Genomic DNA, 26,222 nt, shown 5'->3' with positions numbered 1-26,222 from the left:
CTGTTTCTACCAGGTCAACAAGACAATGGAATGTATTTAGACAGGGCAACCCCCATTCATCAAGTCCAGCCCATTAAGTATACCCTGCTCTCTCCCATCAAGAAAACATTTCGAAGTGCAAAACAAATGAGAGTCATAAGAAAATGATAATTATCATAAGAATAACTTTGAATCCACTGTGATTTATAACCAAAAGCAAATGTTTCACAAACCTCAGTATTTTAATTTGTTAGCAAAACATTTCTTGCAAAGAAGGTCTTAATTACAAGGCATGGCAGCTGAGTGCCTGTAGTCCAGGTAATTTTTAAAGTTCCTTTCAGCTCTGCGACTCCATGAATAGGGAGGCAGTGGAGCCCTGCCTTTTTGTAAGAATATGCTTTGGACAAGCTGTTTCATCTCTCCATATCACAGTTTTCTCATCAATCCAATGGGGATAATAATTATCTCATAAGCATTGCTGTGAAGATTGCAAGAAATAATTTCTGTGAAGCCCTTTAGCACAGTGCTGGTACACAGCAGCCTCTCACTGAGCATAGGGCATGATAATGACAAGTTCAGTAATTAGGCTGAATCGTGATCTCAAACCTCTTCTTGTGCAGTAGAGGGCGGCAGGAGATGATGTGCCAGATGCTTCTATTATCTCATATTAGGTTTCACGACAACTTTCCCATCAGTATGAATGCCTCAGTAATCCCTGCAGCCTATTGATAAGACAGAGTCCCAGGAGGTTTGGGGACTTGCACCCAAGCACTCAACTAGTAAAGGAGCAACCTGGATTTGAGTCCACCTCTCATTCCAAAGCCCTTGTCCCCTCTCTCACGCCATCTTTTTGCAGCAGGACTAACCTGCTGAGAGGCTGAGGAGTCTCATTCCACTTCCCCAGCTCTCTTGCCATTGTGATGCTGGGTAAACTCCTTTTAAGAGCTGCTCATTCCCCATCTCATTGCCCAAGGAATTTGAAGCAAGGAATATCTCAGTTTCTTCATCTATGAAATATGGATGATTTTACCTGCCTTCCCTACTTCCCAAATGTGTTTCAAGGTGCTTTCTCAAAAGAGATAGGGGAAAGTGCTGTAAAAGTTTAGTTAGTATAAAGTGGTAGTAGTACTAATGAGTGTATTCCAACAGTTGCCTCAATAGGAAATTATCAGATTCCATTTGGCCATTACCTCACCATTAGGAACATTTCTAGCTTCGCACAATTTCAGTTCATTTCAGATTTGTCACTGCATTAAAAAATAAGGAGTGGATTTAAAAAATAGTCATTTTCTATAAACACATAGTGTGCAAGGCAGACTGCATCATGGCCATATAATTGCCTACATTTTGGCCAAATTGGCAAATGCTAATAAGTCTATTATGATTGACAGTTATTATGCAATTTCTTCTTCGGGCAAGGTTTCCATATATGATTGAAATATTCAGTCCCTCACATAGTTATTTCCAGTGGAGATAAGCTAGGGGTTTGGTGTGGAGGAGGCAAAGCCAGACCCATGTGCACAAAGTCTTCCTCTTCTAGCCTAGTTAAGCCTGGATAGATGAAGAACTAAGGGTTGTGAAAGTGCATTCATTCTTTCAGGCCAGGAAAACAGTAACTGTAGGTACTTTCTTACTACATTAAGCCCTTTTAACAGTCATGTCATTTACTTCTCTCAACAATACTGTGAGGTGGTTATTATTCCCCCCAATCCATCCATTTTTATTCCTTTGCTACCTGCTTGGTAGAGTTTCCCTTCCCTATCCACATATACCCTAACACATATGGCCAGTGTCTCAGGTTCTATGATCAAAAACTACTCCCAAAACATTTTTTAAAAACTCCTTGAGAGGCTGAGGTGGGAGGATTGGTTGAGCTCAGAAGTTCGAGATCAAAGTGAGCTGTGATAGTACCACTGCACTCCAGCCTGGGTGACAAAGCGAGACCCTATCTCAAAAAATAAAAATAAAAATAAATAAATAAATAAATAAATAAATAAATTGCTAAATGTGTCTACCTAAGTTATAAAGCATAGCTAAGTTTCAAAATGTCATCCTCCCTTACAGTAGAAGCTTTTGGTTTTCTAGGGAATTGCACAAAAGCTTGATAGGCATCTGCAAGCTGGGCTTGTGGGAGGAGAGGAGGAGGGAAAGGAGATGGTACTTTCCAGATAGCCCTAAAATGATACTACCTACTTCACCCACACATGAAGCTGGTCCACTATAATGTGGTGTTTAGGTTGCAAGGGTTCCCAAATCAGAATGCCTATAGGAGCCAGGCAGGCAACATAAATTGGACAATCAGACCAGCTATAAGTAGAGCCTGTGGGAGACAAGGAACATGCCTCACCTAAAGGCATTCAGGTTCCGTGTTCCTGAATGCCAGTCCCAGCCAAACCAAACACAGTGCCAGCCAAACCAAACTCATCTGTGAGCTGGATTGGGCCCATGGTTTAAGGTCTTTAACATCATTCCTGTTCATATCCAACATTTTGCTTGCACCCTGTCTTCACCTAGTGAGAAAGGCAGAGAAGTCCCATTTCACTGAAGTGAAAACTAAAGCCCAGAGAGCCCAGGTGGTTTGTCCAAAGCCACTCACTAAGCGACAGATCCAGGACTCCTCTGGGGATCCCAGCTCCAAGTCCAGGGCTGTTTGATTTCACCTGGCTGACTTCCCTTCATAGCTGTGCACATTCTCATGATGATTTCAATGCCCTTTCACCAATTTGAATATCACTAGCTATCTCTGTAAATATGGATTACACCAGAGGAGCTCTACAGTCATTTCCAATGCCTTCATTATGTTAAGTTACTATTTTGCTTCATAAACATAATAGCATCTTTTCCACTTTGTATCTAAGCCCTAATAGCAAATTGAGTGTATACGGCACTCTCAGGTCAAGCATGCAATTTGGCCATTGAAAGGATGATTTGGGCATCCAGTGTGCACCAACTGGCTGACTGCAAGCCCCCAAACACTAGTATGCCTGCATGTATCCCTAACTTGCTGCTGCAGGGGGATGGAGATGTTGATGGAACACATTTCATTCACAAATAATTACTTTATTCCTATTGCAACTTTTGAGCAAGCCAACGGGTTTGCTGAAGCAAATAATTTTTTTCTAAGTGGCATTGGTTTTATACTCAAACCAACTGAAGCACTAAGAGCTCAATAATACCTCCCTTCCCTGCTGAAATGACCACTTTCTCTGGGCACCAATGCCTCTGGCATGCTTACACCTTCTCATAATGCAGCAGCTGCTTTTACTACTCATGTGGCTCCAAAAACAACCAAAAAACAGGCAAGGAGAAATGAACTCTTGCTTCAGAGAAATACCTGCCCATGATGATGCAGGAATGGTTGACACATCTTTGCGTGTGATCCTGGGGCAAGTGTGAAGGGGAAAGAATTATTATAAATCAGTCAGACCATAGACCATGTTATCTTATTTAAACCTCACAACAATTATGCAAAGTATGGATTATTTCCCATTTTGCAGCTGATAAAACTGATTCCCAGAGTAACTTGCCTACACTCACTCAGCTAGGAATTTTAACTTCTTGGCTTATTCCAAAGTCTATGATAATCTTTCCTGTATGCTACACTAAAAGTGTGCTTTGGTCCTTTTGGAAATCAAATATAGTATAACAATAAATGTGTGTAGGGTTTAATTGGTCAACAATTTAGGTATTAATATTGGAGGAATTGAGGTATTGAGGAAACTAGGGAATTCTGGCTCCTATCATAACTCACACCAGCCACTCCACCATGGGAATAAGTCCAAGAACAGTGACTTGAGACTTTGCCCTGTCTTTCCAACCAACAGCTAGGGGTGAGTCAAACCAATTCTATTGATTCAGCTATATTAAGCAACCAAAGTAAAATGATCCATATGTGTTCTCTAGTCATCCACGTTTTACTCATCTCCATGTCTGGCACACAGCATGCTCTCAGTACATTTCTGTTGAATGAGAGAGTGAATCTTTAAACCAGTAAGAGAAGTTAGTACTATTAAATTCCTAAGAATAGGCACCACATGTACACATTCTAAAATGCGGCCTTTGCAGTCTACTAAGTGCCACTGAAAGACAGTGAATGATCAATCTACACGCTTAAGCAAGAAAAACATGGCCAGGTGGGGGAAGCCAGATATATCTTGGTCAGGGGTACTAGCAGTTGGGGGTAGATATTCCTGCTCATTGCGAAATTGGAGGAGATGAACTTTAGGACTCCTGCAACTGAAGATTCCACAAGTCCATGGGTTTGTGCCCTTCTCTACAACCAACTGGTGAGGATTTACACATTTTCTAAGTTAAGCCAAAAAGCTGGCTTTCGGGAACACATAGTCTCAAAGGAGACATCTTTCAGAAGAATCTCTCTTAGCTTAATAATCAGCTGATACTCATAAGGATCACAAATATATGGTATTTTGTGTTTAATAATCACATTTGATGCCCATTGGTTGCCAGGATAAGTAACACTATGCCTATTTACAAGACTAACTCATTTCCAAATGAATCAAAAAAGCACATTTCATCCTATTTTAATGCAATTGTTCCTGGTTCTCCTTCTTGAGTCTCATTCTAACCTCTCTCAACAGCCTGTATTTCTACTTCTCGCAGGTCTTTTGCGGCTCCTTGCATAATGAATCCTCTTAGTAGTTCTTTCCTTCTGCAGTTCCCCTCAGCCTGTCTCAGGACCAGCTCTGAGGACTGTGCTCTGGGGAAACCCCAGCCTGTCTCCCAGCCCCAAGCTTGCCATCTTGCCCCTGTTGTTGAATGCCACCCCAGCAAACCTGGGGTGTGTTTGCTTTTTGTCCTTCTCTTTCTTCTACCTCTGCGGATCCATCTTGCATATTTCCCTCATTCCCTCCTGAGCCTCCTGTTATCCACTTCCCCTTTCTCTTACCATCTGCACTCACCATCCTGAATTGCTCAGGCTGAGGTCACCCTTTTATTCTGAGCTGGTGAAGCGGAGGCAGCCACCCTCCTTTTATCACGACAAAGTCTTGTGTGGATGAGATATAGTCCTTCCTCCTTATATTTGTTTCCTAAAACTGCTGCAACAAATTACCACAAACTGGGTGGCTTCAAACAGCAGAAATGTATTCTCTTATAATTCTGAAAGCCAGAAGCCTGAAATCAAGGTGTCGGCATGGCCACGCTCCCTTGGAGAGGAATTTGGTGGGAGAATCCTTCCTTGCCTCTTTGAGCTTCTGGTGGCTGTAGGCCATCTTTGGCTTCCTTGGCTTGTGGCTGCATCACTCTAATCTCTGCCTCTGTGGTCACATTGCCTCCTCCTCTTCTGTCTGTATCTTTCCCTCTTCTGTCTCAAATTTCCCTCCACCTTCTCTTCTAAGGACACAGCATTTGATATAGGGCTCACCCAAGTATTCTAGGTTGATTTTATCTCAAGGCTTTTAATCTACATCTGCAAAGATCCTTTTGTCCAAATCAGGTCAGATTCATGGGTTCAAGGATTTGGATGTAAACTTATCTTTTGGGGGCCCCCATTTGACCCACTGCACCCCCAGAATAGACTGGCACTTCTCAATTTTTAGAGCAGTAATGTCTAAGCATTAATGTGTGAATCACCTAGTGATTTTGATACAATTCAAGTTCTGACTCTGGGTGTGAGTAGCGCCTGAGGTTCTGCATTTCTAACAAGCTCCCAGGTCACACTGATGCTGAGGTAGGTGGCCCACATTTTGAGTAGCAAGGTGAGCCAAAATGTGTAGCTGTGTGATCCCCAGAGCAGTCGCAGCAGCACCGCCTGGGAGTTTGTTGTAATAGGAATGCCCAGGCCCCACCTGGACCTGCTGAGTCCAAATCTGCACTGCAACAAGATCCTCATGCGCTCTGGTTGCATGTTAAAGGCTGAGAAGCGCTGATCTAGTCTAGAAGGTTTTTTTATCTTCATGCTTTATACCCAAGACCCCTCTTGATCACATTCTGCACCCTATCTTCGTGGAGTCTTCAGCCTTATTGGGGCAGGTCTTCTGCAGCCCTGCACAGATTATAACTCCTCTATGCCCCTAAGTGGAAGCACTTGGAAGACAATTAACGTCTTCCCTTGCACACTGTTCTATTGCATAAATGTCCCCAACCTACACCCCAACCCAAGTAGCCATGTGTCCCAAGACTGTTAAGTCCATCAAGCCACAACAGCTGTGACAAATATGGAAGCTACCAAACAGGATTTTATCCTGCTCAAATAAATCACTAGAAAATTATCACTGTAATCCTGGTTTTTTTTTTTTTTTTTTTTTTGATACAGTGATCAACTAAAAGTGCTTTTTCCAGCCGGGCATGGTGGCTCGCGCCTATAATCCCAGCACTTTGGGAGGCCGAAGCGGGCAGATCACCTGAGGTCAGCAGTTCAAGACCAGCCTGGCCAACACGGTGAAACCCCATCTCTACTAAAAATACAAAAATTAGCCGGATGTGGTGGCAGGTGCCTGTAATCCCAGCTACACGGGAGGCTGAGGCAGGAGAATTGCTTGAACCTGGGAGGCAGAGGTTGCAGTGAGCTGCGATTGCACCACCGCACTCCAGCCTGGGTGAGACTCTGTCTCAAAAAAAAAAAAGTGCTTTTTCCACTCTTCTGAAGTTCCCATCAAACTCTTTACTCATAAGGATTCAAACTATGAAAATGTGTCTCTTCTTTCATCCCAGTGAATTAAGAATGGATATTACCATAATTAAAATCTTCTGTTAGGTATCTGACATCATTACTCATGTGGTTTCTTTGTTCATAGAATTTCCTCTGGAGGAGACCCTCCTGCCACCCTACCTCCTATTATATAGGAGATACATAATCAGGAAAAGTTTGAACTTGGTCTACTTAGAATTAAATTCTACTGTTTACCAGCTGTGTGTCCTGGGGCAAGTTGCTTAACCTCCTACAGCCTAGTTTTACTCATCTGTGAAACACATGCCCCACAGGATTCTTCCATTAGGCAGATCTTGAGTATTAGAACCCAGCATGTAAGGGGCAGCAACGATGTTCAGAGAATGTCTGTTTCCTTTCTTTGCTCTTCCTTTGGTCCTCTTCTCTTCACGTGGCTCTTAGGAAAATGAATACGCCAATTACATATTTTTGTTTTCTTCCTCCTCCTCCTTCTCCCTGGCCTAGAGGTCTTTCAAATCATTCATTTTGAAGAGAAGACTGTTCCTGATCTGGTCTTTAAAAGTGCATGTATACTTTTCTCCACATCAAAAGAAAACTATGTCAACTGAAAAAAAAAAAAAACTTTGAAACCAGTTTTATAAGTTGTCAGAATGAATTTGGGAATTTTCTACTGCTTAAATAACTCCATCTTATAGCAGAAATAATTTATTTTTGACCTATTAATCATTTATTTCTTCAACAAACATTTATTGCCACATACTATGTGCTGGACCTTGTTCTTAGTGCCTATAACTTTGCACTCTATATGTCAAAACAGAACTAACAAATAAGGTAACAAATAATGAAACACATCATTTCAGATAGTGGCAAGGGCTATGAAGCAAATAAACTGGGTAATGAGATAGTAATGGGGGACGGGGCTCTATTTTGGAATTAGATGCTCAGGTAAGGCCTCCCTGACATATTGAAGTTAAGATCAAACTGACAAAGAATAACCAGTCAAGATCTAGAGAAGAAAGTTCCAGGTGGAGGGAACAGCAAGTGAGAAGGCTCTCATGTGAGATCAAGCTTGGAATATTTAAGGGTGTATATTTGAGACGGAATATTTGACACAGGCAGAGTGGCTGCAGTGTCATGATCAGAGGGAACATGAAACAAGGTGAAGCTGGCAAGATGGACAACCACACTGGGCCGTGAGGGTCTCAGAAGGAAGCTGGATTTTAAATAGAAAGAGTTGCTGGATCTGGCTCATTCTAGCTCATGAGAGCCACTTGTTAAGTTTTCAGGGTTTTAAGAGCTGATTAATGTCAAATTGATAGCTTGAAATTGGCCATAGTGGGAGTATTTACACCATGATAATTGGCAAATACAACAAACCCAGGTTCTTCTCCCAGATCTCTCCTCCAAGAGAGCCAGTTGTTAAACACTTACCAGAACACCGCTGGTGTATGTGCCATTTAAGTGCAGTCGGAACTCACTAGAGGGTTTAAGCCGGAGGATGTTATGACCTAATATGTTTTAAAATAATCCCTCTGGCTGCTGCACGGAGAATGGCTCCTGGAGGATGAGAGGACAGCTGGGGCGGGTGTGGGAGGGGCAATAAGAGAGACTTGAACAAAGCTTTTCTGACTTGAAGTCCTGTGTTCATTTTACTATCACACAAGACAGACATAACTGATGCCCGCACTTAGTATTCTTTTCCTCTTTAAACTTTTGCTCTATAACCAGCTTTCTTCCTCACTTAAAATTACCATCAGACCAGACTTCACATCTGAATGTCTCAAATGAGTCAGAGCTTCAAAGACCCTCATACAGATTCTGGAAATAAAAATGACTAAGTTTCTTTAGGATGAAAGAACGGCACCTTTTCTTCTTGGAAATTAATCATATCTCAGGGTCTCGGGGAAATTCTTTATATGATTTTACTACGTTCATAGCTTAATGGAAATTTCTGGCTAGAGTGGGCACAATCCACCATCTACAAACCCTGAGGTATTAGAAGTTAAGAACGTTTTGTGTATGGCCACACAGCTATTTAGGGCAATATGAGGACTGGAAGCTCGGCCTCCCTATTCTCAGTCCAGGCTGTGCTCAGTAAAGTCTAGCTTTCCCTGCCAGGAAGCTCAGGCTACTGGCTGCCAGCTGTAGGGCTGTTTGCTGCCTCTGCAGTGGTGCCACCACCCCAGGGATGGGGTTTAAATCTCAGTTCAGCCCTGGAGGCCGCCTCCCAGCAGAGGGCCCTGCCAGCCTGGTTCTGGCCCTCTCTCCTGAACCATAAAGCAAGACCGTATCTCAGCCTGCCTGTGCAAGGCAAGGCAGAAATGGCAAAAGATGCCTTGCCCATTGATGAATGAAGCTGATTTTTTCAGCACTTCCCTCCTCTGAGGTCTGGACGTGGGCCAGCCTTGGTCTAGTTGGCCTATATTAAAGTTACTTTTTTTTTTCCTGATGAACTATGGTTCTATTCATTAGGGGGGAAATTGGAGGAAATGAATTGGTACATAAGTTTTCAAGTCATCCTTGTGTTTCTAAGGGACTGGCATCGAGCTCTCAGTAATAACACAGTCGTGAGATGCACAGATGGGAAGACGTAACCCTCTTTTTTTTTCCCTTTCTAAAAACTTTTTAATTGTGACAAAATATACATAACATAAAATGTACCATCTTAACCATTTTTTATACAGCTCAGTGGTACTTGTACATTCACCTTGTTGTATACCACTCACAGCAGAACTTTTTCATCTTGCAAAACTAAAATTCTGTACCCAGCAAACATTTTCATTTTTCCTTCCTCCCAAACCCCTGACAACCACCATTCTATTTTCTGTCTCTATGAATTTCATGACTCCAGATACCTCACGTAAGTATAATCACATAGGATTTGTCCTTATTGGCTTATTTCACTTAGCACAATGTCCTCAAGTTTCATCCATGTTGTGACATGTGTCCAAATAGCCTTTCTTTTTAAGGCTGAATAATGTTTCATTGTATACATATACTACATTTTATTATCCATTGATCTGTCTATATGCACTTGGGCTATTGTGAATAATGCTGCTACAAACTTTCATGTACAAACATCTCTTCAAGTCCCTGCTTTCAGTTATTTTAGATATATAGCCAGAAGTGGAATTGCCAGATCATACACTAATTCTCTTTTTCATTTTTTTTTGAGGAACTACCATACTGTTTTCCATAATGGCTATACCAATTTATATTCCCACCAACAGTGCAATTTTCTGTTTGTTTTTGTTTTCTTAAATAGTAGCCAGCCTGATGGGTGTGAGGTGGTTGAAAATTGACTTTTTTCTTTTTTTAAGAGACGAGGGCTCGCTCTGACACCCAGTCTGGACTGCAGTGGTGCAGTCATAGTTCACTGCAGCCACAAACTCCTGGGCTCAAGCTATTCTCCCACCTCAGCCTCCCAAGTAGCTAGAAATACAGGTACGAGTCACCATGTCCAGCTAATTTAAAAAAAAATTGTACAGACAGTGTCTCCTGTTGCCCAGGCTGATCTAGATAGTGGTAGCTATGCCCAGCAGCCAGACTAGGCAAGAAGCTGGTGAGATGTCCCTGTTATAGCCAAACCCTTGCCTTCCTTAGCTGGACTCCTCAGACCTGGCTACACAGCCTGGCTTCTGTCTCTCTTGTCCAAACAACTGATCCTGTAGCCTCAACTTGGGCTTGAAAAGCTACTTCCCACAGCCACTGTCAGGACTCCATCTTTTACCCCACATCCTTTAAATGCTGGGGATTAACCACAGCTCTAAATAGTTTGTTGTCCCAGAAGCCAAGTTCATTTACATTTATTTTAAGTAAGAAATTCTTTATGAGTGGTGTACATATATTGTGTGGTTTCTTGGAAAATGCAATATGTCTGCAAAGTAATTTTGTTATCATCTGGCTAAAACCCTTTATTTGTTAACCCATGGTCTTAAATAACTTGTTTCAGTTCATATTACTGAGGTACCATTTATAGAGACAAAGTGGAGCCAACAGTTGAGGGTGTTTTGCTGTGATTGAGGGATGGATTAGGAAAGGTGCCCTGAACCTGGCCACAAATGCAGGTGCAGGTGCAAATGCATAGACCCTGGGAAGCACAGGGAAGATTATAAAGTGAGAGGAAGCCCTGTTTCAAGTGCCCAGCTCACACTCTTGCCCGTTCCTGTCTCTGGCCCCTCTGCCACTGGCTCTCCCCTCTCTACCCCCAGTTCCTAGATCTGTGATCTGTGCCTCCATCATCCCTTACCTCTCCTCCAGATTTGTCTCTTCCCATGGTTTAGACAGGGCAGCAGATGCGGAATGACCATGGTGGGGAAAATGGCTGGATGAAGCTGGAGGATGTGGGCTGAAGAAACTGGAGGGCATGTCACATAGGGAAAGCAGGTGAGAGGAAGAAAGTGGGTTACATGATGGGACAGAGGAGGGACAAGAAACTAAAGTAGATTCACACCAGGACCCTCTGAAGCATGTGTGCCAGAGACTTGGCATGTTGGCCAGAACTTCTAGACCACTGGATCGTCTGCACGACACAGACAAACCCATGGAAGCCAGATCCTAAACCACAGGGCTGCCCCAACATCAAAGGCAAAATGGCATTATTTAGGAGCCCAGTTATCCTTGGAGGTCTCAGCTAGATTTTGAAACATATATATAAAGTTTTCCAATTATTTGCTTCACATAATTTTTCACTGGCTGTCTTACCTACACCTGAATTGACATAGTATAATCCTAAAATTATGTTGTTAGTTTACACATATCTAAAAGATTCCACTACAATTCTTTCCGTAAGTCTCAAATGATTAAATGTAATCATTAATGTAATATGATCATTACATATCACTGTAATGATAAAGTTTATTAATGTGTATCAAAGGTTCCCACCAGCTACCCGGCCTCACATTCTTTCAGGAGGGTTGATTATTGTCTTCCCAGGGTGCTGGACATGGTACCTGGATGATATCTCTGTTGTAGTTAATCCTCTAATGCTTGGCTGGTATCTATAATTTTGGTGCTTTACAATAAAGAAACGTGTGTCCCTGTTCGCTATGCTGAGGAAGACTCCTATCTAAGGCTGTGTCTCCAGCTACCTGGGACTAGTGCTGCTCAGTTCCTATGCTGCAGCTACTGGTACCGCAAATCCCTCGCCGTGGTGCAATCACACTTGATCCACATGTGACCCACGTGTGAAATGAATTTTATTACATATGATTTCGGAGTTGAGCTAAGTGCGAGGTGTGATGTGGTATAGTGTTTAGGGGTTGTGACTCCTAAGAGGAAGGGGCAGGAACACAGGGCAGCTATGCCAAGGACACCCAGGGGACATGCAGGAACTTCGTCTTTGATTAAAAAAAAAAAAAGCGAGCCTGATCAGGACAGCAAGGACTCTTTTCAAATTGTGACCCAGGTGACTAAATGAATAGAGTCACAACTATGTGTGCCTTTGGAAACCCTCTGAGACAACCTCATCATGTAGTTGTAACTACACTGTGACTACACTTTAATTTCATCATAACTTTCACTGTCTTTAGCCGTGTTTGGGGTCCTTGATTACTTTAATAAAGGCAGTAGTAGCATGAAGCACACTGTGAACACAGGAAGTTAGGAAATCATTGGCTCACATGGAGCCTTTTAGGCCAGTGGCCTCTGCCGTGCACAGCCCAACACTATTTCTTATTCATCTCTCTTCAAAATTGTCCACTGAAGGCAATTCCAAAAAAAAAAAAAAAAAAAAAGCCATTCCAAAATTCTTCCAAGCAGTGGCAGCATCATTAGAATAACAGTATGATCCCTAAATTTAACGTAGAAGTTCTGGTATGTCTACTGAAAACCAATATTATTCCATTAAAATCACACTTCATTCAGGGGGTTAGGACTGTCTTTTCCTTCATATTTTCAGGGTGTTTCCAAACAAGAGGATCATTTTGAAGCCAGATTGCTAATGTACCTAAAACATTAAATATAATGTGAAATCCTTATTTTCTAATTTAAAAAATGTAATTCACTTTGTAGCTGAAATCAAAACAGAAACGGATGAAATGCAGTTATTAAAATTCAAAGCTGAAAATAAGTGGAAAATAGGAAAGATAGGTGATGAGTTGACTACTGTCCCATAAGAGACAGCCCCTGTTTGTGGCCATTTCTGGACATGTTTTTCTCAATAAAGTAACATGGATGTGGGCTTTTAGGGTGAGTAAAGTACAGTTTTATAAAAATTTTGTAATGTGCTAGTGTTCCCGTACTTTTTACTGTCTGGTATCCTAAGCATGAAGCATGTCCAAGTTTAAAGTAGGAAAACAATAGTCCTAGTGATGCCGAGAAACTCAATTATTCCTCAGAATGCCATGGTCATCTGCACACAAAATGTACCTTTAATGTGACTGTGTAATTTGTAAAGTTGACAAATAAAGTGCTATGAATACTCCTCTCCTCTTTGTGGAAACTGTCTATTTGTTAAAAATTGTTATCCCCACTGATGTCCTTCATCTCCAGAGAATACAGAAGTAAGAGTGGCTTAGACCAGGTCTTCTCAAAGTGTACCCATAGGCTGGGGCTAGTCTGCAAACTGTTTGAGGGTTCCTGGTGAGATAAACATAGATACAAAATCGGTGTCTAGAAAATTTACAGCAATTTGACAACAGCCACATCATTAAGCACATCACCAGAGGATTTGCCTCATGAAAAAGAGTAGAGGCTGGGCATGGTGGCTCACACCTCTAATCCCAGCACTTTGGGAGGCCAAGCCAGGGGTGGATCACTTGAGGTCAGGAGTTTGAGACCATCCTAGCCAACATGGTGAAGCCCCAACCCTACTAAAAGTACCAAAATTAGCTGGACTGGTGGCATATGCCTGTAATCCCAGTTACTTGGGAGGCTGAGGCAGGAGAATCGCTTGCACCTGGGAGGTGAAGGTTGTAGTGAGCTGAGATCACACCACTGCACTCTAGCCTGGGTGACAGAACAAGACTCTGTCGAAAAGAAAGAAAAAAGAAAAGAAAAGAGAGAGAGAGAGAGAGAGAGAAAGAAAGAAAGAAAGAAAGAGAAAGAAAGAAAGAGAGAGAGAAAGGGAAAGAAAGAGAAAAACAGAGAGAAAAGAAAGAAGGAAAGAAAGAGAAAGAAAGAAAGAAAGAAGGAGAAAGAAAGAAAGAAAAAGGGAAGGGAAGGAAGAGTAGAGACTAGTTTTGGTGGTCTTCATTTCATTTTCTAATAATTTATTTTTATCGCATTTTTTAAAGTGTCAGTCCCTATGGGTTGAAAACTAAGAAAAATAATTTGTCCTTCACCCCAGGAACCCTGCCTTAGGCTCTGCTGAGGCTGAATATATGTGTATATATGGGTGCCCCAAAATAAATACAAAAATTCTCTGGAAAGTCTTGTTTCTTTAGAAAACACCAGGGTTGAACATGAGGTCACATTAATAGCAATAGTCACGTACGGCTGGCTGTACCTCCCACCCCTGCTGGCACAGGAACTCCGACCCCTACAACATTTCCCTTGGGAATTTCTGGGCTCCTCAGGCATCCATTCCTGGACCACAACAACTTTATGTGCCTCCCCAGAGTTCCTCCGCTCCAGCTTTTCTGGGAACTTCAGCCATTTGCTCAACAGAAAGTGCCGGCAGCTCCCTTCCCCTCATTTCTTGATAGCTCTCGCTGTCTCAGCTGTCCTGGGTTTGGACTTGTCAGGAAGTGAGAGGCAAACTGGCCTCAAGACCAAGAAGCACAGGCTAGTTTCTTTCTGAACCATAAGATTCCCATTCTTAGTGAACAGGGCCTGGGGACCTCATACAAAGCTGGCTCAGGTTGGGGGTCAGGGTGGGCAGCTGGAGTTAGCAAGTTGTCTGGCCACAGGGGGATGCAGGTGAGCAGGGCTGGAGATGTGGTATGGGCACTGGGGAAGACCTTTGGGGAGAGAATGTGAGATCCAGCGAGGAGACCTGCTTAGAGGAATCTTTAAAGAGCTTACAGGTAGAGATTTCAGATCGAAGGACCATTAGACGTCATGTAGTCTAATGCCTCCTTTTACAAATTAGGACACAGCTTCAGACAGGATACCTGCCGCTGGAGTAGGTGACCCTTGGACAAGAACCCAGAGCCCCCTGAATGGTGTTCCAATGCTTTTAAAGATGATCTCTAATTCCCCACCGTCCTCCCCCAAGCCCCACTGTTTCCACCCCACATCCAGTGACTACACAAACTAGCTTTGCCAGGAGAGCAACCAATTTTAACCAGCCCATCCTAAGACATTCCTATATGTCAGAGCCCAGGTCCCAGTTTGGGGTTATGGCAATTCACCACTCCCCTACAATTACGGAAGCCCAAGCAGCAGCCGGGGTTTCACTCAGCCTCGCTCTCTTTTCCAGGGTGCTCTTGCAAGGAGTCGGGAGAGAGCCCTGCTATGCTCACATCCGCCAGCAGGGGGCAGATAGGGAAAAGGTTTACCGGCTTTGAAGCCGGGCAGCTCCCGGTAGAGGGGAGCCTGCCTGCCTTGGTTTCTAGCAGGGCTGCTCACTGAACTGGGCTGCCTGCCAGGGGCCAGCAGTAAAAAGCCAGTCAGGTTGGTATTACTGTCTGGTAAAATGAAAATACCCCTAAATGCTCATTTGCTCCATCATTTCAGATTCCCTAGTGGCTGGCTCCAATCCGGGCACTTGAGTTTACATCATAACCTGGTCGCTGAAGAGCTGTGACCTTGGGGAAGTTACTCTGTGGTTTCCACATTTGAAAAAGCGGAGAACCATAGTGCCCACCTACTGGGGTTGTTGGGTGAAACAAATTAGAAATTTCCTGCTATGTAGTAAGTACTCAATACATATTAGCCAGCAATAATACGTGATTTTACTTTTAACTCATCCTTTAAACAAGTATTTATTGAGCATCTACTATGCTTAAGGCCCTGACCCAAACAAGCGTTTAGAAGACAGAAAAATTAATAAGACGCTCCTTCAAAAATGTTACAATTATTTTCTATCATTTATCTATTATCAACACTGTAATCTCTTATTTCTTTGATTGCCCCTGTTATGAGGAAGCTCAGCACCAAAGCTGAAGGCCTATCTTTGCTGCTCTTTTGATCCTCAGGACCAGCGGCTCTACATGCTTCTTTTCTGTTGGTTCTCGTATTCCATTCTATTTTATTTATTAAGTCACTGCATACATCTCTTGCCTGACCTGCTCCATGCCGGGGTCTGGGCTTGCTGCCTTACTGATGGGAGTCAGAGCGGAGCACTTTGGGGAAAGGAAGGCCACTAACGGGTCTGGGCTTGCTGCCTTACTGATGGGAGTCAGAGCGGAGCACTTTGGGGAAAGGAAGTCCACTAACCCCCCTCCCCCACCTCCCCCCCAACCACCGGCAAAAAAAAAAAAAAAAAAAAAAAAAAAATATTTACAGGTAAGGAAGTGACTAACGAGGCCTGAGGGGATGAGAGACGGAGGAGAAACAGCAACAATGAAAACACCTCTGAGAAAGACAGGATCGGAGACTCTGGGGAAAGAAAGAAAACACAGTGAAAGTAAAGACCTTGCCAAGGGCCAGCCCATCATGCGGGCAGAGAAGAAAAGAAAGGGACAAAAGAAAGGGACGATGTGGAAGTGTGAGCTGAAAAGCACAGGTTCAGAAATAAGTTGCTTTTAGTATCCATTTCAGGAGCAGAGCAAGGGACAGCGAGGCCAACTAGCGATAGATTTCCCATCAAGAGACAGAGAAGGGCAGGGGGTAGAAATCACTGTTTCCGGAGTGGAAAAACACAACTGAGTGTCTGAAGGGAGAAAGTCACAGCGTCAGCTGGCTGGACAGCTGAGTGTCCAGGTTCACCGGCCAGCTCGGGCAGCTGCTTTCGTCCCCTCACCCCTGAGCCAGTCTGTAGCCAGGATGTAAATAAGTCACCTGCATATGTTAAAAATATAACAGGACAGCCACTGGCCTTGCTCAGCAATGTTGAAGAATCCTGCAGATGGAATGGTGCACTTCAAGGAAGAGAAAGTACAAAAGAAAAATTGCTGATTATGGCAAAGGAGATAACAGGCTGATTCATCTGTTAAGCCTGGGTCAAGAAAATGTCTTGGCCAAACAACTGACCACTTTTCTTTTAAAGACTAAGAAGACCCCATAAAAATGTGCACCTCTGTTGGCCAAAAGGTATGTGCTGGAACCATACATTGGAAACTGCCCCCAATGTCTGCCAATTGCAGAATGGGTGAATACATTGTATTTTGAGACAGCAATGAGAATGACAAACTTCAACTACATACAACAATGTGGCTGAATCTCACAGCAGAACGTTTTGGTTTCTGTGCCCCCTCCCAATAATAAAGCAAGTTTCAAATATATACATAAAATTGTTTCAACATTTCTTTACGCCATATAAACTTGCAGTTGTTTTGACTTCTTTGAACCAGTTGTAACATCTTACCAGTTCCCTCGTTCAACTAGGGAGTTAAATAAAATCTTTGATATGTGTTCATTGTACATTTCCATGAGAACCATGATTTTACTTATTTAAAAAGACTATCCTCTATCACATGGGAAGAGGTCAGGTTCAGATGCGTGGCCCCTGGGTTTCCTGAGGAAGGCCCCCTCTTCACTGTACCATGATCTGCTGGCAGGAGGCCCAGTGGACCTCATAGGGCAGGCGTGAGGCCAGGGCCCAGGTTGGCCTTGTCCTCCGCTTCCTGGCCAGGGTTGGCATGGACAGCGGAAGGCAGAGTGGATTTTGGAAGGAACTCTGCCTGGCCCAAAGGCAATAAACAGTGAGCAGGGAAGGATTGTGGCAAGGCCAGAGCTGCGGGCCCCATCATGGGCTGCCCAGGGGCTGAGGGACCAAACTGGATTGCTGGAATTTGGTGGTGCAAAAAAAGAAAACAATGTGGCTAACTGGGGAGGCGCAAACACAGGATCCTGAAGGACTGAGGTTTAGGTTCTTCTTTCCCTGTCCCATCACGCCTGTACAGGAATTTCTTTTAAGAGAAGAAGTAGCTAGTGATGGCAGTCGTAATGGCTGGCATTTATTAAGCATTTGTTCTTTGCCAGGCAGGATGCCCAGGGAGCAGCATGTCCTGTCATTTCATTCCTCATTTATCACATGCTAAAGGCAACCGTATGAGGGGGTGCATGTTACTGCCTCTTTCTAGCTGGGAAGTGACAAGGAGCTGGGATTTAAACCCAGGCTAAGCCAATCAGCCCCACTGTGTGTGGAGCAGGCTGAGAGGCCTGATCCTAGATGCTAGGATGTGAGGGTGGATCTGACGTGCTGGCAGGACCTCCAGGCAGCACTGTCCAGCCAGAAGTTGAAATGTAGGGCTGATGCTAAGGAGAGGTCAAATATGTTATTCATTTAGCATATATTAATAGAGGTTCTCCTAGGAAAGGGAACTAGGTCCCTTTTCTAGTTCTGTGGTCTGGGCAAATTAACAAATTCCCCAAGTTTCATTTCTTCCTCTTTAAAATGTCAGTGATACCACAGTACCTATTTCCTGGGTTGGGAAAGGGCAGTGTGAAAATTAAGTAAGGTGATATACGTGAGGCTCTTGGTACCACCTCTGCCCTGAACATGTGATAAATGGCAGCTATTTTCATTGTTATTGTCCACGAGAGACTGCAGCTTCTGGTGGAGGATGCATTGAGTAAGTGCTTGTGGCTCTTGGGTTTTTTGATCAACAGAGCACTATTCATCATTATTATTTTCCCATGACCTAAAAAACACATTGTAACCCTCCCAAGGTGAAGTATAGAACGAAACTAAAAATAAGTCAAGTTATCATTAATTTACCAAAGCAAAAAGTAAGTATTTTACAATTCTTAACCACAGGAACAAAGATGCATAAGGAATCTCTTTCTTTCTTTCTTTCTTTCTTTCTTTCTTTCTTTCTTTTTTTTTTTTTTTTTTTTTTTGAGACAGGGTCTCTCTCTGTCACCCAGGCTGGAATACAGTGGCATGATGTTGGCTCACTGCAACCTCCACCTCCTGGGCTCAAGCAATTCTCCCACCTCAGCCTCCTCAGTAGCTGGGACCAGCAGGCCCAGCTAATTTTGTATTTTTTGTAGAGGCAGGGTTTCTCTATGTTGACCAGGCTGGTTGTGAACTCCTGGGCTAAAGCAATCCGCCCACCTTGGCCTCCCAAAGTGCTGAGATTACAGGTGTGAGCCACCATGCCTGCACAGGAATTTCTTTTAAGAGAAGAAGTAGCTAGTGATGGCAGTCGTAATGGCTGGCATTTATTAAGCATTTGTTCTCTGCCAGGCAGGATGCCCAGGGAGCAGCGTGTCCTGTCGTTTCATTCCTCATTTATCACATGCTAAAGGCAACCACATGAGGGGGTGCATGTTACTGCGTCTTTCTAGTTGGGAAGTGACAAGGAGCTGGATTTAAACCCAGGCTAAGCCAATCAGCCCCACTGTGTGTGGAGGAGGCTGAGAGGCCTGATCCTAGATGCTAGGATGTGAGGGTGGATCTGACATGCTGGCAGGACCTCGGGCAGCACTGTCCAGCCAGAAGTTGAAATGTAGGACTGATGATAAGGAGAGGTCAGACATGTTATTCATTTAGCATATATTAATGGAGGGCCTATTATGTGTCAGGCACTGTTCTAGGCTGAATAAAACAGGCAAAAATCCCTGCTTCCATAGGGCTATAATTTCAGTGGAGCATTTAGATACTAAACATCATAAATAAGTAAAACATATAGTATGTTAGCTAGGGATAAGATTGGTAGAGAAAATTAGAGAGAGAAAGGATACAGAGAGCCAGGGGTGGGGGTAGAGTGTGCAAGTGTACTTAGGGTGGTCAGGGAAGGCCTCATTTAGGGGCATTTGTGTAAAACCTGAAGGAGGTGAGGGAATAAGCCATGCAGCTCTTTGGGAGAAGAACATTCTGGATGGCGGGAACAGCGGTGCAAAGGCCCTAAGGTGAGAGGACACTTGTCATGTTTGAGGAGCAACAGGAAGCCATTGTGGCTGGACCAAAGTGGATGAGGGCACGCATGTTAGAGACGTGTTGGAGAGAGGCAGGAGGTGCAGACCCAGAGGGGCCTTCTATGCTGAGTGACTCGAAGGTGGTCCTGAGCAGACCAAATACACGGGCTGGCTTAGGTAAAAGAACTATTCTGGTCACTTCATGGACAATGAAGTCTAGTGGGGCAGGGGTGACGCAGGAAATCACTCAGCAGCCACTTACAGTAGCTCAGACAGGAGACGGTGGTAGTTGGAACAGAATGGCAAGGGCTTCGGGAGAAGTAATGAGATTCTGGGATTTGGGAGTCTTCAGAAACCTTTGAGACTATCCTTTGAGGGGTATTCCAACATGTGGCCTGATCCCAATAACCTTTCTTGGAAAGCCCTCTCCTGGTGTCTCCAGGATAATGGAACACATTACCCATGAAAAAGAAGCCTTTCTGGCCCCTACCACGTGTCCGGGCACCGGGCCAGCTTTTTCTCTATCCACCAGTGATTCTGGGCCCCTCTCTAAGACATGAACAGTGGCAGGTAATGAACATCGAAAGCCCCTTAACTTCCCCTCAGATTTTCCTCAGAAACAAAGCAAATGCCACCAGGAGCAATGTTCCAGTTTCTATTGTTGCTTTAAAAACACCCTAAAACTTTACGACATAAAGCACTATGTTCTTAAGCTCTCGGATTCTGTGGGTCAGTAACTCTGAGAGGGTACCATGGGGGTGGCTTGTCTCTGCCCCATTATGTCTGGACCCTCCACTGGGAAAGCTCAATGGCTGAGGGTGACTGACGGATGACAGGGGCTGGCATCACCTGGAGCTGTCCTTGCTCACGTTCTGGCTGTCGGCTGGGATCTCAGCTAGCTACTGGGCAGAACATCTACACTTGGCCTCTCCCTATGGTCTCCTTGTATAGGGTGGTGTGGGCTTCCTCCACGCCACAGTAGCTGGGTCTGGAAGGCCTGTGTTATGTGCATGAGACCTGACCCTGCAGCAGCCACCTGGCAAACAATGGAGATACCAGAAAACAAAGTTGCCATGCTGCAGATAGCAAGATGAGGAGGTGGAAAGTACTAGGGGCCCTGAATTAACCTGGGGCACTCTACCTCAAATTTCCTGTTTGGTGAAATCAAATACATTTTCTGTATTGCTTAAACCAGTTCAAGTTGGGGTTTTCTGTTATTGCCGCTAAAGGCAGCATAACTGATACAGCACTCTTGATCTGCCACGTCTCTGTGGCTGCATACTCCGGAGAAGGAAGCCAGGGTTGGAGCATCACCACCCACAACAACTGATGTCCTGCTGCCAGCAGACAGCTGCTGCTTCCTGGGGCAGCTGGGATCAGGGGTCCCTATGGTGGTTCATGCATGAGCTGTCAAGACATGATTCTCGGCATCTTCCCCCATAAAGGCAAGGAATCAATTCTTTGCAGTTCTCAAGAACTCACACCCAGGGAATGGAGGTGGGGGTGTGTGGGGAGTAGTTCTGATGTGTGGTAACTTGATGGTGGTGAAACAAAAAAATGGAAAATACTAGGAGGAGAAAACCGTTCAGACATGGCCCCATCACTCTAACTCCCAGGGAGTTGCTCACCTGAAGCCGTGCGTATGGTGAAAAAAGAGGCTGTTAGTGTCCCAGACACATCCCTCAGACCTTTCAGTGGACTTCAGCCAACTTCAAACTGTGTGTCTCTATGCCTGTGCCTGGGACTTTTTCCAAAACTGTGGAAAACCCCTCAACTCACATGCAACGAAAGCCAGAAGTGGGGGAGAATTAACACCCCTAGGGAGCAGACTTCTACCAATGCACCTGGAAGCTGCTGTATAAACACCCCCGTCCTCTCCCTCGGGTGGTAATATTCTGAGGTGTGTGTTTGATATTGGTTTCCAGAGCTTCCCCACAGGACTAAGCTCCATCTGCCTGCTATGAGAGCTGGTGGAACTGCATCCTTTGTTGGCTGCCTTCCTTCCTGAATCACTTCCCCATTTCCCCCTCCCCTACTGACATTCTCTGCCCCTCCCAGATAAATTGCCTATGCTCAAATCTGTCTCAGCATCTACTTCCGGGGGGGCCCAAACTAAGGCAGTGATCAAAAGGAGGTGGTTGGTTGAAGAAGATGGGAAAAGATTGACGATAATCTCTGCAGGATGAAGTGACAATCGAGCCACAGGGTTCTTTTACTAGGAAGCTCCAGAAGTCATGAAACCAGGGCTTTTTTTGACTTGCCAACTGGGAGATGAGCTTCCTAAATTTTCAAGGCCCGCTGGTAGCTCACGGGTATCTAGTTGTTGAGCCTTCTGTATGTACAGGGGCCAGGGCACCATTAATGCCATTCCGATTGGATCCAATCCCAACAGCACCCGTGAGCAGCATTTCACACTGATGATCTGCTCATCCGCTCATCTCCTATCTCCCTGCAGCTGAGGAAACCTCTCAGCAGTGATCAGCATCGAGAATGGATCTTCTTTTGTTCTTGTTCACTCAATGTGTTTATTTTCAAGATTGCATTTGTGGAAAGCATTTAAACAGCACCGTTTATAAGAAAACAAAAGTCACCAGATGGAAAAATAGAATAAGAAACACACACACCCACAAACTCCCCAAGCAATATAGCCAGGGCAGCGGGAGTTATTGTTGTCTTGCTGTCGTGGATAATGCAGCTGTGTTGGAAAAGCTGTCTGCTTTTGACAGCCTAGAATTTTCAAGAGGGAACTGAACACAGGTCAACAGAATTCTGTGCTGCAATTCACTTCTTGAGAAAGTTTGACAAACCTTCCTCTTCCTCCTAGGACAGAACAACAGCTACTAGAATTACCATATATGTTGAATTATAAAGCACAGGCAAGTTTCTCTTGCAATAATGCCTTACAGTTGGCCCATATCTTATTTGGACAGATAACGTTCTTTCTTATGTTCTCAAGAGCCTTAGCAACACCCTTAGCCACTGACTGGCTGCACAGCCAGGCTGATATGAAAACAAGAAAGATAGCGGCTGTTTCTGAGGCTGAGACAAACATCACCTCCTCCCCTTGAGGAAATCAAGAAAACCAAACTGCTTTCCCCTCTCCCCGACTCCACCATCAAACACACCATGATTTTGCCTATACCAAGGGTTGAAAACCTTCAGCAATATGCCAACTTTCAGTCACAAGTAACTCCTGGCCATGACTTCCTCCCTGCCATTCCTTCTCCCAATAGCCAACATGGGAGAAAAAAGATGGCAGTGTGAAAAGATGCTCAAGTCAGGACTGGTGTTCTGGGTCCTGTGAGGAGGAGTCTTAACATTAATTTTACCTGGACTGATCTTAGCTGGACCCCCACCCTCCACCCACAGCCATTCTGGGTGTGGCGTGCTCAGAAGACGGCAACAGGTCGCAGCTGCTGCAGCAGGGGGATATTATGCAGCATGGCTGCCCTGGCAGCAGTCAGGGAGTATTGAGCCCCACACTCAGACAGACACTTAACTGTGTGACACTCAGGAGTGTACTTAACCTCCCTGACCTTCAGTCTCTCCAACTGTAAATAGTAGCTCCTACTTCACAGGGTTATCTTGAAGTTTAAAAGCATATAAAATGCTAGTGCCGGACACATCATCAGCTCTCTATAAACGGCAACTCTTATTACCACTGTGGGCATTCGACTGTGGTTTATAACACTGTAAGCAAGTATGGACTAATAAAAGCTGTTTCCACAGTTGTAAGTTTTAGGAGCTGTTAACATGATTCCAACTGCGGGTCTGAGAACCCGGGATGACTGTTAGAGAACCCAATTGAGATTTCACATTAGAGAACTGATGATATTAAGGAAAAGAGTCGTGTGCAGGCCATGGAGTGGATGGTGAGGACAGCCAGAGAGCATGGGGAAAGTTACCAGAAGGCCCGGCTGCCATCAGGAGGACTTTCCAGGGGAGTAGCCCACTCAGCATGACACGGATGCAGGAGCCAGAGGAAAAACTCTGCGAGCCTTGGAGCAGACCTGGCACGTGCAGGTTTATTGACCACAAAGTCATGAGAAAGAGATTTTACATAAGTCGAGGCTATCCGAGGAGAAAGGAGGTTAAGACCACAGCAAAGCCATCTCTGTTTCATACCGAGTGTCCTCACCAGGCTGGGCCTTCCCGACTTAGCTGGGAGGAGGTGCAGGAGCTGGGCAGCGAGGTATGCACACAGCTGGATGTGCCAACGTCGGGGCCGAAACTCAGAGGCTAAGGAAGCTTCTGAAAGAGCAATGTAAGTGCCCCCGGGGACGGGTCCTAGAGCGTCCTCCATTGGAATTCATGTTTCTAAAGCATCGATCTGAATGTTATTCAATAATACCATGCCCTTTCCCCTCCACACTTTTCAGACAACAGGATGACCATGCACAGCTGGGAAGCAACACTTTGTAAGCAAACTCCAGAGTGGGTGGCTTCTTTGAGGAAAGAGTGAAAATAGATAAAGATGTTGCGGGGGGACAGTATGGAAGAGCTCCCCTCCAAGGATATGCTGATATACACCTCCCTGGAGCTGAGAAGCACCGAGAGGAGCCTGGACCACCAGTGAGCACCCAGAGGGTGGAAGATATGCCACCATGAGCTCCTTGAGGCCAGGAACCATTTCCAATCCACATATCAACTAATTTATATTGGTTAAATTATAAAAAACCATTAATTTTTCATGTATTTATTCCAGAAGTACAACTTCTCTTCTTTTGCTCCGTCCTCCATGCACACAACACACAGAGCAAATCCCACATTTTGATGGATGACTGAATGATAAATAATATAGTACTGCCTTCTGCCCTGAAGCCCCGACAACAACAAGGCTACCTCTGGAATCCACTCGCCACACTGATCATGACTGTGCCATCAGGGTTTGATCTCAGTCTATCACGTGAATCTACCTTGTTTTATGGGCCTGCAACATAATCAGAGCAAACCAATGGATTTCCCTTAAAGAAGGAGCAAGGGGAATCTGTGCAAAAGCCTAGTATAAATATATTACATCCTGGAAAAATAGACTATCGTAAAAGTCTACTTAACTGATGAACTCCACTCTGAACAAGCAAACCACACCCTTTATCAACAGCTTGTTAAGGTCCTTTTATTACTGCCATTACCTCGCCTGAAATAGCCCTCCCAGTCCATGGGAAGTAATGTCGTGGAAACAGCACTTATTCTGGAGCCAGACAGGACCGGGTTCAAGCCCTGGTTCACACTTACCAGTTGTGGATCTCTTTCCTAATTTGGAGAATGAGGATAATACTACCTACATTATGGAGATGTCATGAGGATTAAATGATGTAACTTCTAACCCCCAGGTTTTACAGCTTAGAAGCCTAACCATAGATGATTCTAGAAGACAACCTCCTTGCCAGGTCACAACCAAACCATAGCCAGCTGAATGAACGTAGGGAGCTGAGTGAGCATTTTTGGGCTCCAAGTCTGTAGCAGGGACCGTAAGGGTGGGAGGGATGTCAGTGGGAGGGGACTCATGATGTCTTAAGACCTAGATAAGGGGTGGGAGCAGAATGGGAGCCTTCCCCAAATCCATTTTCCCTTTCTTCCTCACCAACAAAAGCCTGGTACTCAGGGTTTCAATGTGACCAGAAGAAAAACTATATTCTGCAGCCTACCCTATAGATAAGGATGGCCACAGAACTAAATTCTGGCCAATAATATATAGGCATAAGCTACTGAATGAGGCATTTGGGAAAGCTCCTTAAAGAAACAGCAGATTCATCTGGGAAGCCCTTTTGCATTTCCTCCTTCCTTTGCTAATTGGAACTCAGACATGAGGACAGGAGCTGCTGAGGCCATCTTGGAAGCATGAGGCAACCCTAAGGATGAGAGCACAGAGAGATAAAAGGTGCCTGTGGTAGCGATCTCCACCTCCAGACTTATTTTATGTAGGAGAAAAATAAAGCCCTATCACTTGTTTCAGGCCTGTTATTAGGGGAGTTTGGTAGCCAGCCTCCAAGGTGGCTCCCAGTGGTCCTCACTGGGACCACTGGGAGGATTTGTGCTCTTGTATAGCCCTTCCACATGTTGAATAGAACTGACCTGTGTAACCAATAGGATATTAAGAAAATGACAATTTGTGATTTCTAGGTCATAAAAGACATGGTGGGTTCTGCCTTGCTTTCTCCTGGATCACTCACTCTAGGGGAAGGCAACTGCCAGGTCATGAGGACACGCAAGCAGCCCTACAGAAAAGTCCACATGGCCAAGAATCAAGGCCTCCTGCCAATAGTCAGCATCAACTTGCCAGCCCTGTGAATGAACACTTGGAAGCAGAGCCCCTGGCTCATGAAGCTCTCAGACAACTGAAACCCCAGTAACATCTTGAGCACAATCCCACTGGAGACCTTGAGTCAGAACCACCAAGTAAGCTGCTCCCAAACTTTTGATTCATAATAACTGTGTGAGATAATAAATGTTTATTGTTGTTTTAAGGCACTAAATTTATTATACAGTCATAAATAACTAATACATAGACATACTCAATTCCCAACTGATACGGAACCTAAAGAGGCAACTTGGAATGACCACACATGACACCCAAAAGACCTGCACTCTCCAACCTGCTGAAATCCCATCCAGAGAGGCACAGCTTCCCTCCTCCTCTCACTGCCTCCGTCTGGACATGTGGGAGACATGCAGCACCCTTCCTGTAGACTGCAGACACTGGTGC

The 26,222-nt window shown here is 44.5% G+C and overlaps 1 long non-coding RNA gene across 1 annotated transcript in view; it reads right to left on the bottom strand.

Moving 5' to 3' along the window:
- MIR4713HG (MIR4713 host gene) overlaps positions 1-26,222 on the bottom strand; it is a 256,425-nt gene that overhangs the window by 86,031 nt on the left and 144,172 nt on the right. The window lies entirely within an intron of this gene.

The sequence above is a fragment of the Homo sapiens genome, chromosome 15 (genome assembly GCF_000001405.40).
Source record: "Homo sapiens chromosome 15, GRCh38.p14 Primary Assembly".
NCBI classification, from domain to species: domain Eukaryota; kingdom Metazoa; phylum Chordata; class Mammalia; order Primates; family Hominidae; genus Homo; species Homo sapiens.
Note: the sequence above shows the minus strand (reverse complement) of the source record. Positions and strands in the feature narration are given on the sequence as shown.